This window comes from Homo sapiens, chromosome 8 (assembly GCF_000001405.40).
Source record: "Homo sapiens chromosome 8, GRCh38.p14 Primary Assembly".
NCBI classification, from domain to species: Eukaryota; Metazoa; Chordata; class Mammalia; order Primates; family Hominidae; genus Homo; species Homo sapiens.
Window position 1 is genome coordinate 47250211 of NC_000008.11, and position 20918 is coordinate 47271128.

At 42.7% G+C, this 20918-nt stretch overlaps 1 protein-coding gene across 47 annotated transcripts in view, besides 1 other annotated feature; it reads left to right on the plus strand.

Moving 5' to 3' along the window:
• Window positions 10442–10991: a silencer, noted in NCBI's record as "silent region_19169". NCBI's record gives its function as "represses an Ori minimal core promoter by ATAC-STARR-seq in GM12878 lymphoblastoid cells {active_cell/tissue: GM12878}" and the evidence as "EXISTENCE:reporter gene assay evidence [ECO:0000049][PMID:35858748]".
• Window positions 10668–20918, plus strand: part of SPIDR (scaffold protein involved in DNA repair) — a 475429-nt gene continuing 465178 nt past the window's right edge. For 46 of the 47 annotated variants that reach the window (NR_148202.1, NR_148205.1, NR_148204.1 and 43 more), the window contains exon 1: window positions 10668–10781. Coding sequence is in view for 18 of the 47 variants with exons in the window: in XM_017013268.3 (XP_016868757.1) it covers window positions 10749–10781 (33 nt within the window). In the remaining 29 variants the exon portion in view is untranslated. The remainder of the gene's footprint in view (window positions 10782–20918) is intronic. The other variant, NM_001080394.4, reaches the window with a different exon arrangement.

A 20918-nucleotide genomic window follows, 5' to 3' on the forward strand; every position in this document is an offset into this window, starting at 1 on the left:
GTGAACCCGGGAGGCGGAGCTTGCAGTGAGCCGAGATCCCGCCACTGCACTCCAGCCTGGGCGACAGAGCGAGACTCCGTCTCAAAAAAAAAAAAAAAAAAACAACAAAAAAAAAACCTGTCCTCAAGTTCAGAGATTCCTTCTTCTGCTTGATCTAGTCTGCTATTGAAGTTCTGTAATAAATTTTTTAGCTTCTTCAGCTCTAGGATTTCTGATTCTTTTTGATGCTACCTATCTCTTTGCTGAATTTATCATTTAAATCATAAATAGTTTTTCTAATTTCATTGACTTGTCTATTTGTATTCCCTTGCATCTCTTGGAGTTTCTTTTCTTTTCTTTTCTTTTTTTTTTTTTAGAGACAGAATCTCACTATGTTGCCCAGGCATGTCTCAAACTCCTGGCCTCAAGTGATCCTCCTACCTCAGCCTTCCAAAGTGCTGGGATTACAGGTGTTAAGTCACCACACCCAGCCTAAAGTTTCCTTAAGATCATTAATTTGAATTCCTTTTCAGGCAATTTGTAAATTTCTGTTCTTTGGGGTCAGTTACTAAAGAACTATTGTGTTCTTTTGGTGGTGTCCTGTTTCTTTGCTTTTTCATGTTCTTGTGTCCCTGTGTTAATGTGTGTGCGTCTGGTGGTGCAGTTACTTCTTCTAAACCTTTCAGATTGGCTTTTGTAGGGGAAGACTTTCTCCTATATATGGGCCAGAGGGTGTTGGTTAAGCAGGGTGCAGTGGCTCTGTTTCTGTGTCGGTGCATTGGTGTAGTCTGCATGCAGTTTCTTCAGTTGTGACGAATGTCAGCAATGACTGCAGTGCCTGGGTGGTCTAGGTTGCAGAAGTTTGTGGAAGTGACAATGGCTGTGTAGGTTATTAGGGCAAGGGCCTTAGGGATCCATCTATTCCTGTCTTACCCACAGTGGAGAGTCTTCACTAAAGGGATCTCTCTTGGTGTAGAGTCTGACACAACCCACTGGCAGCCACAGTGGCACTGGGATTCAGGGCATAGGTGCATAGGTGTTCAGAGCAGCTGCGAAGCTGGGTTCCTGGGCTCAGGATTTGAGGTACTGGTTCAATTTCCAAGGCACAAGTAGAGGCAGTTCTCTTGCTAAGATAGGGTCTTTTGCTGAGGCACACTCCAGCAGTTTGGGCCGAGGGGGCTGGGATGTAGCTATAGTTCTGACCCTGAGGGCAGGGTGAAGCCCTGACACAGCTATGGAGTAAAGAGGTGCTCTGGAGGCTTAGGTCCTGGGGAGCAGGACACAGCTACAATTTGGAACACAGAACCAAGAGGCTACAAAAAGAGCTTAGGTTCTGGGAGATGAGGTACCAAACAGTGGTCACTCTGGACCCTGGGATGGTGGGACATGGCAGTAGCCAAGGCTCTATGAGTCTAGGGGCAGCAACAGCAAGGACTTGGACATGGCAAGATGCCCCTGTGCTTGGGAACTGGGGGGAATAGAGCAGCACAGCAATGACTCCACTCTCCAAAGAGGTAGAGCACCTCAGCAGCTCAGACTTTGAGGGACTAGTCCAGTTCCAGGTAGGGGGGGCACTGTGGATGTTTAGCCTGGAGGTTGACATGACCCAGCTCAGGCAAAACTCTGATTCCCTGGGGTGTAAGGTGCAGCTAAAACCCAGAAAGCATGGCTACATGGGTCAGTGGAGGCTCAGTTCCCTAGGGCATGGTTCTATATCAGCTGTGGCACCGGTGGGTGCAACTGCTCCAATGTGCCAGAGGCTCAGAGCCCCGGGGCAAAGTGCTGCCTCACCTTTGGCTCTGGAGTGCCAAAGACATAAGGTCCCTGGGGAGCAGGGCATGCCTCATCATGGTACCAGGATTGTGTCTGCTATGGTTTGTAGGATGCTTGAGGTCCCTGGGAGGTGGGGAGTCACTTCAGCTCAACCATAAGGGGAGGGTGCACCAGTGTCTCACATGGGGGTGATGGAGCTTGGCCCTAGGGGATAGAGCTTGGAACAGCCTGTTTTGGGGATGACGTGCTACTGGGTAAGATGGTTTTAGTGTTGGCAAAGCCACAGGGATGAAGGGGTACATAGCTGCACACTCCCAGAGCACAACACACTCTAGCAGTGGCTCTGGTTCCAAGATGGTGCAGTGCAGCAGCAGCACAGACCATGGGGGAGGGCACAGTATCAGCTCTTTCTCTTAGATAGCTCAGCATATGAACTCTGGGGAGCTCCCTCAGTTGGGCTCAGAGCTTGTGAGGACTGTGGGAGCCTCTGGTAATGAAGATTGCATGTGTCCACGGTGGTGATGGGGTTTGCCGGGGTCCTCCTGCTCACCTTTTCCCTGCAGGAAGAAGGCTCTCCTGGTTCCAAGCTGATCCTGAGTGGATAGGGTGGCAGAGATGAGGTGTATCCTTTCCTTCCCTGTGCATCCATCCTGGGTTTCCATACTCTACAGAGTTTCTGCTGTTTCTTTATTGTTCTCCAGAGCTCTCCTTTAGTTATTTTGATTGAAATATAGTTGTTTCTTCACTATATTTTGATTTTTTGTTGGAGTTGGGGATGAACCTAGGAGCTTCCAGTCAGTCAACCATCTTGTGACATCCAAGAATTACTTTCTATTTTTCTTTTTGTATGGTATCTTTGCCTGGCATTGGTATCAGGGTAATACGGGCCTCACAGAATGAATTGGGAAGTGTTCCTTCATATTTTATTTTTTAAAAGAGATTGAGAATAACTGGTGTTAATTCTTCCTTTTTACTTTCTTTTTTTTTTTTTTTTTTTAGACAGGGTCTCACTCTGTCACTCTGTTACCCAGGCTGGAGTGCAGTGCTGCAATCATGGCTCACCGCAACCTCAAACTCCTCACCTCAAGCAATCCTCCCACCTTAGCCCTCCCAAGTAACTGGGACTACAGGCATGTGCCACTATGTCTGGCTAATTTTTTTTTAAATTTTTTTGTGGGCCGGGTGCAGTGGCTCACGCCTGTAATCCCAACACTTTGGGAGGCCAAGGTGGGCGGATAACGAGGTCAAGAGATTGAGACCATCCCGGCCAACATGGTGAAACCCTGTCTCTACTAAAAATACAAAAAAATTAGCTGGGCGTGGTGGCACGCGCCTGTAGTCCCAGCTACTCGGAAGGCTGAGGCAGGAAAATTGCTTGGACCCAGGCAGTGGATGTTGCAGTGAGCCAAGGTCACGCCACTGCACTCCAGACTGGGGACAGAGTGAGACTCCGTCTCAAAAAAAAAAAAAAATTGTGGACATAGGGTCTCACTATGTTGCCCAGGCTGGTCTCAAACTCCTGGGCTCAAGCAATCCTCCTGCCTCAGTTTCTCAAAGTCCTGGGATTACAGGGTGTTAATTCTTCTTAAATGTTTGGTAGACTTTACCAGTGAAGCCACCTGGTCCTGAATTTTTCTTCGTTGAGACTTCTTGTTAATAGGGTCTCTAAAGTGCATTTGTAAATTCCCAGTAATTTAAGCCTAATTTTGTGTCACTAAAGCAAATGATAATGTGCTGTAAAGTTGTGGTGAGTGATTTTCATTTAAAAGTTCATTTTAGAAATTTAAAAAAAAATTTATTGTACCACTTTGCCTCAATAAAGCAAGTTTGGTACACCCCAGATACGTGTTAGCCAGTAATAACTCCAGGCAAAACAATAAAAACTCTTAAACTCCCAACCAAAACAAAGGCAACCCATTTTAAAAATGGGCAACTGATTTGAATAGATATTTCTCCAAAGAAGATAGAGAAATGGCCAAAAAGCACATGAAAAGATGCTTAACATCATTAATCATTATGGAAATACAAGTCAAAGTCAGTAAGATACCATTTCACAGCCACTAGCATGGTTAAAATATTTTTTAAAGGGGAAAATTATAAGTATTGGCAAGGATGCCCTCTAACATGGCTGTAGGGAATATAAAATGGTGCAGCTTCTGTGGAAAAGAGTTTTGTGGTTCTTCAGAAAGTTAAACCTAAAACTGTAAATATAATCTAGTCATTCCCCTCCTGCATATATACCCCCAAGTGAAAACAGGTGTTCAAACAAAACTTGTCCACAAATGTTCAGCGTAGCATTATTCATAATAGGCAAAACGTGGAAACAACACAAAGGTTCATCAATTGATTAATGGATAAACAAAATAGTAATCCACCCAATGGAATATTATGCAGCCATTAAAAAGGAATGTAAATTAATATAGCCATTAAGGAAAAACAGTATGGACATTGCTAAGAAAACTGAAAAATAAAACTACTATGTGATCCTGCAATCTCACTGCTGAGTATATACCCAAAGGAACTGAAATCTGTGTGTCAAAGAGACATCTGCACTGCCATGTTCATTGCAGCATTACTCATAATAGCCAAGATATGGAATCAACCTGTGTCCATCAACACGTGAATGGATAAGGAAAATGTGGCATATATACACAATGGAATACTATTCAGTTTTAAAAAAAGGAAATCCTGTCATTTGCCACATGTATGAAGCTGGTGGACATTATGTTAAGTGAAATAAGCCAGACACAGAAATACAGATACTGCTGATCTCACATGTGGAATCTAAAAAAGTCAAACTCATAGAAGCAGAGAGTAGAATGATGGTTATCAGGGGTTGGGGTGAGAGATGGGTAGGATAGGCCACATTTCAGTTAGATGGAGAAATAAGTTCAAGAGATCTATCTATTGTACAAGATGGTGACAGTAGTTAATAACAATGTATTGGGTGGGCACACTGACTCATGCCTGTAATTCCAACACTTTAGGAGGCTGAGGCAGCAGGATCGCTTGAAGCCAGGAGTTTGAGACCAGCCTGGGCAGCATGGTGAAACCCTGTCTCTACAAAATTAAAAAAAAAAAAAAAAAAGTCAAGTGTGTTGGCATGCGCCTGTGGTTCCAGCTACTTGGAAGACTAAGGCAGAGGATCTCTTGAGCCCAGGAGGCTGAGGATGCAGTGAGCCGTGACTGCATCATCGCACTCCAGCCTGGGCAACAGAGTGAGACCCTGTCTCAAACAAACAAACAAAATGTATCATATACTTGGAAATTGCTAAGAGTAGATTTTAAGTGTTTTCAACCACAAAAAACCTAAGTATGTGAGGTAATGCATGTTTTAATTGGCTTGATTTAGCCATTCCACAATGTATACATATTTCAAAACATGTTGTACAACATAAATATATACAATTTTTGTCAATTAAAAGATAAGTTTAAAAAGAGAAAGTGGGACTTTTGGCAGTGAGTAGGTAATGAGGGTAAATCCCTCATGAATAGGGTGAATGCCTTTAAAGAGACCCCAAAGGGATAACTAGCCCCTTCCACCATGTGAGTGAGAACACACTAGAAGTGCCATCTATGAGGAATGGGCCCTTACCAGACACTGTATCTGCCAGAGCCTTGATCTTGGACTTCTTAGCCTCCAGAACTTTGAGAAATAAATTTCTATTCTTTTTTTTCTTTTCTTGAGACGGAGTCTCGCACTGTCGCCTGGGCTGGTGTGCAGTTGTGCAATCTCGGCTCACTGCAACCTCCGCCTCCCGGGTTCAAGCGATTCTCTTGACTCAGCCTCCCAAGTAACTAGGATTACAGGGGCCCCACTACCACGCCTGGCTAATGTTTTTGTATTTTTAGTGGGGACAGGGTTTCACTATGTTGGCCAGGCTGGTCTTGAACTCCTGACCTCGTGATCTGCCCACCTTGGCCTCCCAAAGTGCTGGGATTACAGGTGTGAGCGACTGTGCTTGGCCTAAATTTCTATTCTTTTTAAGCTATGCAGTTATGGGTTGTTAGTTGATGGGTTGTTATAGTAACCCAAATTGACTAAGAAAACCAACTAAGGCCTAAGGCCTAACATAGGCCTGGCACATAGTAAACTTCAATATTTGTTTGTTGAATGAATGAATGCACATTCCTTGAATAATCTGCATTTGACTCTATTTTCCACTCCTACTTTTTATATATATATATATAAACCATTTGTATACTTTTGAGAACCTAGATCCATGGTTCTCAAAGTGTGATCAGGAAAAAGAGATAAAGTGAGATTCACCAAAGTTGAAAACCTCTGTGCTTTGGGCTTTACCACTTATTGGGTTTGTGGCTTTTTGCAAGTTATATAACATGTCTGTGGTGCAATTATCTCATATGTAATCATAATTGTACTTCACACAATTGTCATAGAGATTTTCTGAGATAAATGATAATAATAATTGCTAACACTTCCTGGGCACTTACTATGTATCTGCTGTGTTCTAACCCATCAGGTGAGGCACTATTTTCATTTCATATAAAGGGATTAACATTGCCTGCACATATAAATGTCATATTATTATTATTAACATTATTGTAGTCAATGATTAAAGAAAAGGCTGACAAGGCCTTTTCTTCCCACCCTGAGTGCACGGATCTCCTAGTCGGATGTTTTGTGGGAGACCACTGTGCAACAGCCTGTTACTCCGTGCAATTGCATCCAGTCCAGTGCTTCTCACAGGTGAGCATGCATCAGAGTCAGTTGAAGGGCTTGTCAAAACAGATTGCCAGGCCTTGTCCACCAGGTTTCTGATTCAATTGGTCTAGTATGGAGTCCAAGAATTTGCATTTCTGACAATTTCTCAGATGCTGCTGATGCTACCAGCCCCTCACCAAACATTTTTAAAATAATTATTTTATTGAAATATAATTCAAATACCATAAAATCACCCTTTAAAGTGTACCATTCAGTGATTTGTTACAATATTCACAGTTGTACAACCATCATCACTCTAGAACAAAGTACACATTTTTCTTAATTTTTCAATCTGTTTTAAAAATAGGTATACAAAACAACATAAAAAAGTAGAGATGGAGAAGTCCTCCTCCCCTCATCCCAATCACTTGGTTCCTCCCCTCCACCAGGTAACCCCTTTTATTTCCTATACATCTATTTCGATGTAGCATTTCTTCAAGCAGATATAAGCAATATATGGTCTTTTCCTGTTTTCTTGCACTAGAGAGGCAGCACACTATGAATCATATTCTGTCAATTGTTTTTTTCATTTAGTAAAGCTGGAGATCATTATGAAGGTATTACCATGGCACATTTAACAGTCTCCTTACTCTCCAAGTAAACAAATATATCAATTTTTTCTAGTCTTTTGCTATTGCAAACTATGCTGCAAAAAATACCCTTACATACATATCATTTCACATGTGTTATCATTTCATATGTGTATCCTCTAAAATTCAGGTGTTGCCAAATAGGCCATGAAGGCTCCTCCATCACTAATAGGATTAAGGCCCTTATAAGAGGCTTCACGCAGCATTCAGCTAGCTTGCTTTCTTGCCCTTCTGCCTTCTGCCATGTGAAGATGCAGCAGGAAGGCCCACACCAGACACCAAATGCCAGCTCCTTGATCTCAGATTTCTCAGAGTGAGAAAGTAAGTATCTGTTCTTTGTAAACTACCCAGTCTCAGATATTCTGTTATAGCAGCACAAAACAGACTAAGACAATATGTGTGCAGGTGTATGTGTAGGATTAGTTTCCAGAAGTAGGACTGCTAGCTTAAAGAGTAAATACACTTATAATTTTGAAGCATATTTGATAGGAGTTGCATAATTTTGTACTTTTGTTAGCAATACATTAGAGGGCCCTTACCCCAATATGTGTTGTCCAGGACTTAGATTTTAGCCAATATGGTAGGTGTGCAGTTTAAATTTGCATTTCTCTTGTCATGAGTGAGACAGTACATTTTTCATATGTATAAAAGCCATTTGTGTTCCTTTCTCTGTGAACTGCCCTTGTCCTTTGCCCATTTTCTACTGGGTTTCCCCCAAGGAATACTCTTGCTTACTCCTCCAAGAGTAATTTATACTTTAGGGGGCTGTTTCTATATAACATCAATATGAACTATTCTTTAATTTTGCCATTTGTCTTTGCCTACTGTGTTTTTTTTGCCATGCATAAATTAGGGTTTTTATGTAGTTGAATCGATCAATCTTTCCTATTACGACTAGGACATTTTGAGTCATAGTTGGAAAGACTTTCTCCCCTTTCCCCCACTCTAAGATTATAAAGGAATCTGGTCATGTTTTATTCTAATACCTTGACATTTTTTCACGTTTAAATCTTGGATTCATTTATAGCCTAGAGCACTGTCATCTACCAGACTAAAAAAGAATATGGATGAGTAGATTCTAAACATTTCTCCCCATATTAGATCTTTCTTTAAATACAATCTTGCCCCATATATAAGACAGATGGAAGAGAGCTGCCCTGAAGGTGCAGCAGAGACCCTCCTGTGAGTCACACCCTCCCCAGACTCCATGGATCTCCATGGAATCCTTAGGATGGCTGTAAGCAGAGTGAAGACCACAGATATCTGCAGAACAGCAACTAGGCCAAAAAGTTTGATGAGAAAAAAGTTAAAAGAAGGACTTTCTGGTTTGTCTTGATGTTTGCCATTGAGTGTTTGCTGAGGAGGAAATGAGGCAAGACTGGAGAGGACTTAAGAGACCCTTTCTGCAGGGGCTCATCTTTATTATCAACAGTTCCCTTTTGCTGAGTTCATATGTTCAAGTGAAAAATTCCTCATGATTCTACTATGATCTGATTGGTGTAGTGGAGAATGCATCGACCTTGGTATCACATATGAGTTCTAATCCTGAACAGTTACTAGCTGTGCAGCCTCTGGCAAGTCATTTCTGTTTCACAATTAGCAGTTCATCCATAGTAAATAACTGAGTACTTTGTATATGGAAGACGCTGTGCTAACTGATAGAGATACAAAAACGGAGAAGATAGAAATGGTATTACCTTACAGCATGGAGGTGGAACCACATGGTAAACAAATAACTTTCGTAATTATTTAGATTCTAATTGTTATAACATCTTCAACAGAGCATGAGGTCCTGCGGACATGGAAGAGCAGGGAGGTTCAGGCTTGCTAGTTTAGGGAAGCTGGCCACCAGGTTCAGGTTTGACAGGCGCATAGGAAATGGCATGGCAGAGGGAGGCCAGAGCCTTTTAGGCAAAAGGAAGAGCAAATGCTTATTAGACCCCAAGGCTGCAGGAGCTAGGCACGTTTGACCACCGAAAGGGAAGGCCAGTATAGACAGCATAAACCTCACTGTGGTGTCTGTGTTGAGAATGGATTGTATGTGTGTGCTGTGTGAGGGGCAAGAGTGGATTAGGGGACATGGGTTAAGAGCTACTAGCAGTCTGGGCAAAAGATACTAGTGGCCTGGGAAACAGTGGTAGTGGAGAGTGGACACATTAGTAAGACACACAAACGTGTTCACAAAAATTCCTAGGTTTCTGCGTGAGCTGTGGCCAGGTGGATGTCCATGCCACTACTGAGATGGCGAATTCTGAACAGGAGGAAGTTTGGAGAAAAACCCCAACATTTCGGCAGGACAGCACCTCCTGGTGGAGATGACAAGCGGGAGCCTCACCACAGGCCTGGTTGTGGGAGTGAAAGGGGGACTCCGGGCGCGGTCGGGTGCACTTACTGTGCTAAGACAGCAAGGCCCGGCGGAGGTGGCAATGGCAGACCTGGTTTCTCGGCGGAGTCCCAGTGGGAGGCCCGGTGTCCAAAATCCTCAACTAGATTGGGCATGCCGTTTATCTTGTTCCAACTGTTGACAGTAATGGCACTAGCAATAATGTCCTTCCCAGGCAAAGATGGTTTTTCTTCCGTGTTTTCAGCCACTGCAGAGTGGACATCTACTATGAACCAAGTATCTGCGGCTTTAGGTACCAGATTCAAACACAGAATGGTGGCAGAACAGGGACTAGGACGGAGAGAAAACCTGAAGATGGATCAACCAGGAAGCAATGCATTCTCACAGAGGCACAAAAAAATGCCTCTGAAACAGAAGATTCACCTCCACTTCTGCGTCCTTTTGAGGCAACTTTCTGAGCATCCTTTCCTCCTCCCCAGGCCAACGCTTTTCCACCTTGTTAAACTACCCGGTAGCTTTCTCCATGGGAGGCGCCTTCTTCACAGTACTCGGACCCAGTTACACTTGTGGCCTTCCCCGGCTTCTGCTGGGCCGGCTATGGTCGACGCCGCACCGTCTCAGGCCCACTTCTCCTGCGGGAGCGGCGGCCCCAGCGGAGCCCCTGTGCGCCACGGCGAACGTGATAGGAATGCAATCTTCCGCCCCTTCAGACTCTGGCACCCCGTAGCCTTTCCTCAGGCTCCACGAGTTCTCCCGGTGATGTGATGACCGACATGGCGTCTGGGCTCTGAACACAGACTTTACTCCTTCCCCCCGGCCCCGAAACATGGGGAAACCACACCCTCTCTGCTCCAGTCACCAGCAGCCACTCCCATTCCTTAAGTATCCATTATTGCATGTGTAGCCTATTGCATGTGTAGCCTACTTCTGGTTTTCATTTTTATTTAAGGTCAGTTGTTGCCTGACAACACAGACGACAGTAACTTAATTCGAAAGACAATACTTGGAGGCGGCCCCCGCTCCAGGCACCAGCCCAGCAGCTCCCCCGAACTCCCCAGGAGCTCGCGGGCGAGCAACGCCACAGCCCAGAGCGAGCTCCGCGGAACCCCCAGCCCCGGGGAAGGAAGCTCGACTCTCCGCGGGGCACTCCTTCCGGGCTCCGGGCCCGACTAGGCCATCCGGGAGGCCCTGGAGCGCCGGGGCCGGAGAAGCCCTGCCCCCCGCCGAAGCCCCGCCCTGCGCCCGAGCGCCCGCCAATGGCAGGGCGCGGTGCGGCGCGCCGAGGTGGGACGGCGGCGCGCTGAGGAGGCGGTGCGCTCAGGCGGCGCTCCCGGAGATGCCCCGCGGCAGCCGCGCTCGGGGCTCTAAGGTAGGCTCTGGGGCGGGAGTGGGCGCCGCGCCGTTTCCCGCGTTGCGGGGAAGCGGCGGGCCGGCGCGGGGCTGGCCCCGTTGTGCTGGGGTGAGAGAGGGTGGGCGTTGGGGGTGAAGGGCTAGGTGGTGGCGGGTCCCGTCTGCGCGCGTGGAGCAAGCCCGCGCAGTGGGGTACCGCCCCCAGGTCCGGCTCCGGTCCAGGCGTGCGGGCCGGGCCCTCAGCGGCGGTACGGAAAGCGAGGGGTGGGACCGCCGAGGGACGCAGCGGGCGGGAGCATATGTCCGCCTCGGGGGTACTTGGCCTTACTCTTGTCTCTTTTTGATTCTGGTGTAATGTACCAAACCGCAGGGAATCCTGGCGTGGTTTTACCCGTCTCCGCGGATAATCCACTGTCAACTCTGTCTCTCTTCCTGCCGCACTCGGAGGGGACTGTGCGGCTGACTGCCCAATCCGTGGGCACCGCGCTGCCTCGGGTTCCAGAACGGGAGCGGGTGCCTAGGAATCGTTGCTTGAATGGTGTTTGATTGCACCTGTATCCGCGAGTGCATCCTTTTTTGTTCTGCTAATTGTGCTTGTCATGGCATGTGTCCTTTATCGTTTTAAAGTTTCTTCTAACTTCCTTGCTTTCAAATACGTTTGTCTCATAGTAAAACGGTTTTTAAAAAGCAAACACAGGACCTCCTTTCTTGACTCTTGCCTTTACTTGAAAACTTCCTGGAAAAAATAGACCACATATACTGGTTCAACTTCTTTACCACTACCATGCTTTCTCGCTTCTCAAATACCATTGATTATCAGCCCACACTATCAGTTTTGTGACTGGCTTTAGGGAATAAAGAAATTCATTTCAGGCACCTCTTGATTATAAGATACAGTCTGATTTCTGAAGCATTAATGTGTGAAAAAAATCAAGGAAATATATAAATTTGCTAAATCCAGTGTAAGTTGTTTACTTGATCATTGGAGCGTTTGACACATTCACCACCTGCTTTTATTTCTTTTGGAACATCCATGATTGTTTTCCTGTCTTGCAACAGCTCATTTTCTTCTCTTTACTGTGTTCGTGCCATGTTCTAATTTTTGACCTTGTGCTTTTTCACATGTTCCATATTTGCTTTGGACAATGTCATACATTGAAGTTAACTATATAGATGACTTTCAGATCTATATTAGATCTTTCCCTAGAGCTCAAACTTAGTGCATCACATAATCATCATCTCACCCTTAGTCCTCCAGGCCCTAACAGTTTCTCTTGACTTAGAAATCTTAGTATTTTTGAATTGACGTTCACTTCTGGTCTCTTCATCTTGTCATTTTTCAAGACTCTTTTTTTTTACTCAATTTTTTTTAGTAGTCGTACAGTTGTCTATTGTGTAATACGTTGCTGAAAACTGAAGCAGTTCATAACAAATGTTTATTATATCATAGAGTTTCTGAGACTCAGGAATCTGAGAACGGCTCAACTAAGTGGTTGTAGTTCAGGATCTCCCACAAGGCTGCAGTCAAATAAAGGGTCGTTGGAGCTGGAGAATCCAGTTCCAAGCTCACTCACGTGGTTGTTTCTTGACAGCTGCATAGGGCAGCTCACAACAGGGTCCTGGCTTTCCCAAGAGCAAGAGAGAGAGCAACAAGATATCGGTCCCCGTGTCTTTTATAGCCTAAACTCAGAAGTGACATCCCATCTCCTGTCTATTCATTACATGGACCAACCCGGTACAATGTATGAGGAGACTATAGAGGGTCCCCAGGAGGTGGGGATCACAGGGGCCACCTTGGAGGCTGGCTTCCACAGTATTTCCCAGGAATTTATTTTTTGTTTCTGTCTCCCTCGGTCAGTCTCAAAAGTACTTAATGGTTGGAGTGTTGATGTGTAGTGCCGGCTAGCATGCTCCCATTCCATCTTCAGAGGTGACTTTCCCTTAGGCACTACTTTGATTATATTGTTAGTCCTCTATCTAAATCTCATTTTACTTCTTATTGGCTACATCATAATTTACTGCAGAACTTATCCTGTGTTTAGTGCTTTATATGTATTAACTAATTTAATTATTTTAACAGTCCTGTGAGGTAGATACCATTAGTCTCATTTTATGGATGAGGAAACTGAGGCTCAGCAGAGAGGCTAAGTAATTTGCCTAAGGTCACACAGCAGTTAAGGGAAGAAGCTAGGATTTGTATCCAGGTAGTCTGCCCCAGACCTTGCTTTTGTTCAGGCTCTCAGCCTGTTATTCACAGCCTCCATAATATCTGTGTCTTATTCCTTTACAGCTTTGCTCATTATTTATCTTATAGGTAAACTAGACTACTGCGTCACTGTACTTGCTTGCCCCTTGGTGGTAATTGCGTATGTTCTTGGTTTGGAATAATGCCAGTTCTCCCATTTCTGCTGATTGAAACCTTTTTTTTTTGAGACGCAGTCTCGCTCTGTCGCCCAGGCTGGAGTGCAGTGGCGCGATCTCGGTACAGGCGCCAGCCTCCACACCGGGCTAATTTTTTTTAAATTTTTATTAGAGACAGGGTTTCACCGTGTTAGCCAGGATGGTCTCGATCTCCTGACGTCGTGATCCGCCCGCCTCGGCCTCCCAAAGTGCTGGGATTACAGGCGTGAGCCACTGCGCCCGGCCATGAAATCTTAATCATCCATTGAGGCCTACTTCAAATCCCACCTTCTCCCAAATTATCCCAGCTATAAATGAACTTTCTTCTGTATGTTCTTGGTTTGGAATAATGCCAGTTCTCCCATTTCTGCTGATTGGAATCTTAGTCATCCATTGAGGCCCACCCCAAATTTCACCTCCCAAATTATCCCAGCTGTAAATGAACTTTCTTCTGTAGTCTGTGGAATTTTATGTAAATAACTCTTACTATTCCATGTCTTACATTAGGTTTATTTGTGTCTACACCTTTATTCCCTTATATTCTAGACATTTAAGATTAGGGACTATTTCTTCAGCCCATATTCCCCAGAATACCTGTCATATCCCTTGTATGTACTAGATATCTGATGAATTAATGAAAGGAGAACTAGTTTAGAAGATTTGCAAGTATTCCAGGTGTGAAGAAACAGGAGGAAATACCCTAGTCCGAAGACTCGGATATCTGCCTCAGCAGTACAGCTGAATGATTTTGCAGTTTTGGACAAGCCACACAGATATATCACGACTCTTAAGATGAAAGGTGGTGTGGTTATGGACTAAGGTGGTGGAATTAGGAATAGAATAGAAAGGACTGGGTTGACAGACTACAAATGGAAGGTGAGATTTAGGCAACTGCAATTGAAAGAGGAAGAGGAGGAAACCCATGGTGATTCAGAAAGTCGAACCTATGAGAAGTGAGAAAGTTGTTTGCCTCTTAACTGATGTTAGGATATATAGATATATCCTATATATCACATATATAGATATGTGGTATTTAAGTCCCAGGGAGATTAGGGCAGTCAGTTGCTCAAAGGCTGGGGTATCTTAGTTCTTTCCTCACTCCCCTCTCCTCCATGAGTTTCTCCTGCCCTAGCCCCTCACTATCCCTTAACATGCTGTGATTCTTCCCTTTGTGCCTTGTGTTCTCCCTTTCCTTATGAAGTAGCCAAGGACGACCACATATACTCCTGTTCTTGGGCAGCAGCTTGCCTTTTGAGATTTTCTTTTTTTTTTTTTGAGATGGAGTCTTGCTCAGCCACCCAGGCTGGAGTGCAGTGGCCCGATCTCGGCTCACTGCAACCACTGTCTCCTGGGTTCAAGTTCTCTGAATAGGGCAATATACCTAACATTGAGTTGTCGTTTCTTTATAAAATGGGGTTAATACCTATATTGCTGGGTTGATGTGAGGATTAAATTATGAGAATGCATGCGATGATATACCGAGCATATAAACACTCAATAAATGTTGGTGATAATGAAAGCAATTAATAATGAAACACCATGATAATTAAAGAAATCATATGAGGACAAAGATATTGTACATCCTCTACTGCTTTGTCTCTAGATTTCCCTGGAATTGCTGTCTTTCAGCTTCTTGAACAAGAAATAGGAAAAAGGCTCATTTTCAAGTTTTTCAGTGATGGCAGGAAATTCTCATAGTTATCTTGGTAGGAGTACCTCATGGTTCCAGTTTAAGGCCTTGATAGTCTCATTGAATGATTTACTGGTGGCTCTACATCTCAGAATTAGACTACTTAGTATTGACATCTCAGTTGTCTTTTTTTTTTTTTTTTTTTTTGAGACAGTCTTACTCTGTCGCCCAGGCTGGGGTGCAGGGGTGCTATCATGGCTCACTGCAGTCTTGAGCTCCTGGGCTCAAGTGATCCTCCCATTTCGGCCTCCTGAGTAGCTGGGACCACAGGCCATGCCACTGTGCCTGGCTAATATTTAAATTTATTTTGTAGAGATAGAGTCTTGCTGTGTTGCCGAGGCTGGTCTCGAATTCCTGACCTCAAGCCGTTCTTTCTCCTTGGCCTCCCAAAGTGCTGGGGTTACAGCGTGAACCACTGTGCCTGGCCTAGAGGTTGTCTTATTCCTCAAACCAAAGGGAAAGAGAGGAAAGAGAGCTTTTATTGAAAGCTTTCTATATGTCAAGCACTTTGCATAGAGTACCTCATTTAAGGGAAAACATGTTTTCTTTTTAGTCAAAATAATACATGTTCATAGGTAAGGTAAAATAGTACAAAAAAAGTTTGTTGTAAAACTCAGCAGTCCCTTGCACATCTCATTCCATTTATTTTTATTGAGATAACTGTAAATTCACAGACAATTGTGAGTAATATAGAGAATAATTGTTTTATAAACTAAATCTGGAGGCTGGGCCTTGCTAGATCAAAGTGTTGACAGATTTCATGTCTGGTGAGGGCCTGCTTTCTGGTTCACAGACAGCCATATTCTTACCATGTCTTTATATGGTGGAAGAGGTAAAGGAGCTCTCCAAGGTCTCTTTTATAAGGGCATCAATCCCGTAACTTCTAATCACCTGCCAAAGGCCCCACCTCCTAATACCATCAGGTGATCTGCCCGCATCGACATCCCAAAGTGCTGGGATGACAGGCGTGAGCCACCATGCCCGGTCTGAAGTTTTTTTTTTTTTAATACAACATAAAACTCTCATGATTTATCGAAGTTGTTGTGCATATCAGTAGTTTCTTTGTCTTTTTTTTTTTTTTTTTTGAGTTGGAGTCTCACTCTCTTGCCCAGGCTGGAGTGCAATAGCGCGATCTCGGCTCACTGCAACTTTCCGCCTCCCCAGTTCAAACAATTCTCCTGCGTCAGCCTCCCAAGTAGCTGGTACTACAGGCACCTGCTGCCATGCCTGGCTAATCTTTTGTATTTTAGTAGAGACAGGGTTTCACCGTGTTGCCCAGGCTGGTCTTGAACTCCTGAGCTCAGGCAATGCAATCCACCCACCTCGGCCTCTCAAAGTGTTAGGATTACAGGCATGAGCCACTGTGCCTGGCCAATAGTTTCTTTGTTTTAATTGCTGAGTAGTGTTCCATATAATGGATATACCAGAGTTTGGATTAACATTTATTATTGAAGGACCTCTAGGCTGTTTTCAGGTTTTGGTTATTGCAAATAAAACTGCTATAAACATTTGTGTACAGGTTTTTGTGTGAACATAAGTTTTCATTTCTCTGAGATAAATGCCTAAGTATGTAATTGCCAGAACCTATGGTAATTTGATGTTTAACTCTATAAGAAACTGACAAACTTTTCCAAAGTGGTTATATCTGTATAATTTTGCAGTCCCATTGGCAATGTTGTTATTCAGTTTTATAGATAATAAAATCTACCCTTTTAAAGTGGAAAATCCAGTGGTTTCTAGTATATTTACAGAGTTGTACAAATGTTCCTAATTGTAGAATATTTTCATGACCCCAAAAAGAAACCCCATAGCTATTACTAGTCAGTCACTCCCCATTCTCTCTTCCCTCATCCATTGGCAACCACTAAGCTACTTTCGGTGTGTATGGATTTGCCTATTCTGGACATTTCATATAAAGTGTGGTCATTTTGTGACTGGCTTCTTTCATTAAAAATAATGTTTTCCAGGTTTATACATGTTGTTGCATGTATCAGTACTTCATTCCTATTTATTTTGAATAAATTTTTTATTGCATGGACATACTGCATTTGAAAAATCCATTTATTAGTTGATAGACATTTGGATTATTTCCACCTTTGGGCTGTTAAGAATAATGTTGCTTTGAACTTTTTTTTTTAATTGAGATCCGGTCTCATTATATTGCCCAGGCTGGTCTCAAACTCCTGGCTGGGCTCAAGAGATCCTCCCATCTCAGCTTCTCAAGGTGTTGGGATTACATCCGTGAGCCATCGCACCTGGCCTGCGTTGAACATTTGTATATGCATTTTTATGTAGACCTAAGTTTTTCTTTCTCTAGCAGTGGAATTTTTGGGTCACATAATAACTGTATGTTTACATTTTGGATAACTGTTAGAATTTTCCAAAGTGGTTGCACCTTTTACAGTCTCACCAGCAAGGAATGAACATTCTAATTTTGCCACATTCTTGCTAACACTTGCCATTGCCTGTCTTTTACTTTTAGTCATCCTAATGGTTATGAAGTGTTACCTCACTGTGATTTGGTTTGCAGTTCCCTAATGAGATTGAGCATCTTTTCATGTACTTATTGGGCATTTCTGTATCTTCTTGAAGAAATGTTTATTCAGCTTATTTGGCTGCGTTTTCATTGGGTTATTTGCTGTTTTATTGTGGAATCACGAGTTCTTTAAAATTCTGTATACTGTTCCCCTATAAGATGTATGATTGCAGATATTTTCTCTCATTCTTTGGGTTTTCTTTTCATTTTCTTATTGAAGTACAAATGTTTTTAATAATTTTGATGAGGTCCAATTTGTTTTTTCTTTTGTTTCTTGTGCTTTTCGGTGTCATGTCTAATAAATCATTGCCTAAACCAAGGTCACAAAGATTTATTCCTATGTTTTCTTCCAAGAGTTACAGTTTTAGCTCTTACATTTAGGTCTGTGATTCATTTGGAGTTAATTTTTCTACACACTGTGAGGTAGGGGTACAACTTCATTCTTTTCGATGTGGATACCCAGTTGTTTCAACACTGTTTGTTGAAAAAATTGTTCTTTCTCCTTGAATTGTCTTGGCACTTTTTTGTTTTAATTGAAAATCAGTTGACCATAAAAGTAAAGGTTTGTTTCTGGTCTATGAATTCTATTCCACTGATCTCCATGTCTGCCTTTATTCTAGTACCATACTGTTTTAATTACTGTAACTTGGCAGTGTTGAAATTAGAAGTGTGAGTTTCTGACTTGTTTTCTGTTTTGAGATTTTTTTAACTGTTTTGGGTTCATTACATTTCCATATGAATAATAGCAGCTTGTCAATTTCTGCAGAAAGCCATCTGGGATTTTGATTTTGTTGAATATATAGACAAATTGGAGAGTATTATCATCTTAACAATATTATTTCCCATGAGCATGGGTTGTCTTTTCATTTATTTAGATCTTCTTTAATTTCTATCTATGTTTTACAGTTTTCAGTGAAAAAGTCCTGCACTTCTTTGGTTAAATTTATTCCTAAGAGTTTTATTCTTTTTGATGCTATTTTGAATGCAGTTCTACTGGCACATGCTGCTGCACGTGGCTAATATTTTTTGTTAATTTTTTGGTAGAGATGGAGTCTCGCTGTGTTGCCCAGGCTGGTCTCAAATTCCTGGGCTCAAGGGATGCTCCTGTTTTGGCCTCCCAAAGCTCTGGGATTATAGGCATGAGCCAGCCGCACCCAGCTCCATTGATTTTTTTAAATATTGAGATTGTATCCTGCAACTTTGCTGAACTCATTTATTGGTTCTAATAATTTTTTGGGTTTTCTGAAGTGTGGATTCCTTAGGATTTCCTGTGTACAAGGTCATGCAGCTAGGCATGGTGGCTCACACCAGTAATCCCAGCACTTTGGGAGGCTGAGGCGGGTGGATCACTTCAGCCTAGGAGTTCGAGACCAGCCTGGGCAACATGGTAAAACTGAGTCTCTACAAAAAACACAAAAATTAGCAGGATGTGGTGGCTCATGCCTGTGGTCCCAGCTACTCGGGAGGCTGAGGCAAGAGGATTGCTTGAGCCGAGGAGGTGGAAGCTTCAGTGAGCCATGATTGTGCTACTGCACTCCAGCCTGGGCAACAGAGTGAGACCCTCTCCTTTTTTTTTTTTTTTTTTTTTTTTAAAGGAGGTAGAAGCTTCAGTGATCCATGATCGTGCTACTGCACTCCAGCCTGGGCAACAGAGTGAGACCATCTTTTTTTCCCCCCAAGACAGAATCTTGCGCTGTCACCCAGGCTGGAGTGCAGTGGTACCATCTCAGCTCGCTGCAACCTCTGCCTCCTGGGTTCAAGCTATTCTTCTGCCTCAGCCTCCTGAGTAGTTGGGATTAGAGGCGTGTGCCACCATGCCTGGCTAATTTTTGTATTTTTAGTAGAAACGGGCTTTCACCATGTTGGCCGGGCTGGTATTGAACTCCTGACCTCATGATCCGCCCACCTTGGCCTCCCAAAGTTCTGGGATTACAGGCGTGAGCCACTACACCTGGCCAACCATGTCTCTTAAAAAAAAAAAAAAAAAGAAAGAAAACAAAATACCATGCTGTCTGTCAGTAGAGATGAATTTACTACTTCCAATTTAGACATCTTTTATTTCTTCTCCTTGCCATGGCTAGAACCTCCAGTCAAATATTGAATGTAAGTGGGAAGAGTTGACATCCTTTCTTTTTCCTTCTTTTAGGGATAAAGCATCCAGTATTTAACTATTCTGTATGATGTTAGCTGTGGGTTCTTTGTATATACATTTTTATCAGGTTGAGGAAATAACCTTCTATATCTAGTTTGTTGAGTTTTTACTGTGGAATAGTTGTTGGCCTTTGTCAGTTGCTTTTCCTACATCTAATTGAGACAATACTGTGGTTTTTATCCTTTATTTTGTTAATATATGACATTGATTGAATTTTCAATATTACATTAACTTTGTATTCCTGGGAAAAATCTCTCTTGGTTATGGTGTATAACTCTTTGTATATGTTGCTGGATTCAGTTTGCTAGTATTTTGTTGAGGATTTTTGCATCTATATTCATAAACAGTTTTGCTCTGTGCTTCGTTGTTATGTTTTGGTTTTATCAGGGTAATACTGGTTTCATGGTGTGAATTAGGAAGTATTTCCTCTTCTGTATTTTGGAAGAGTTTGTGAAGGATAGATACTGTTTCTTAAAATGTTTGGTATAAATCACCGTTGTACTCTGAGCCTCAGCTTTTCTTTGTAGGAAGTTTTAAAGTTATGACTCAATCTCTTTGTTTGTTACAGCTCTCTGATCAGTTTTTTATTTCTGAGTCGGTTTTGCTAGTTTGTCTTTCTCGGAATTTGTTCATTTTATTTTAGTTATTTAATTTGTTGGTATGTAGTTCATATTATTTCCTTATAATGTTCTCTGTAATCTTTTGGGTTTCTGCAAAATTGGTAGTGCTTCCTCACTTTCTTCTATTCCTGAGTTTTGTAGTTTAAATCTTCTCTTCCCCGCCCCCAAACCTCCTTGGTCAGCCTAGCTTGTCAATTTTGTTGATCTTTTTGAGGAACTAACTTTTTTTTTTATATTCTTTGTTGTTTTTCTATTCTCTCTGTCATTTATTTCTGCCAGATGGAAGTTTTATTGACTAAAGATTTTTCTTCTTTTTAAATGTAGTCATTTACAGCTACAGATTTCTCAGTAAGTACTGCTTTAGCTGCATCTATAGGTTTTAGTGTATATTGTTTTCATTCCTTTTAAAGTTATCTTCTAATTTTCTCATGATTTCTTTTTTTGATCTATTGGCTGTTTAGGAGTGTGTTTAATTTTTGCATACTTGTGAATTTTCATTTTATTTTTATTGTAAGGTTTAAATTTCATTCTATTATTGTCTAAGAACAGTATTACTATGATTTCACTCCTTTTAAATTTATCGAAGCTTGAGTTATGGCCTAACATGGTCTGTCGGAGAATGTTTCATGTTTACATTAGAATAATGTGTATTCTGCTGTTCCTCAGGGTAGGGGGGTGTCTTCATGGTTTCTGTCAAGAATGCAGCTGTTAACACTTATTGAGGATCCTTTGTATATGATGAGTTTTGTACATGACGT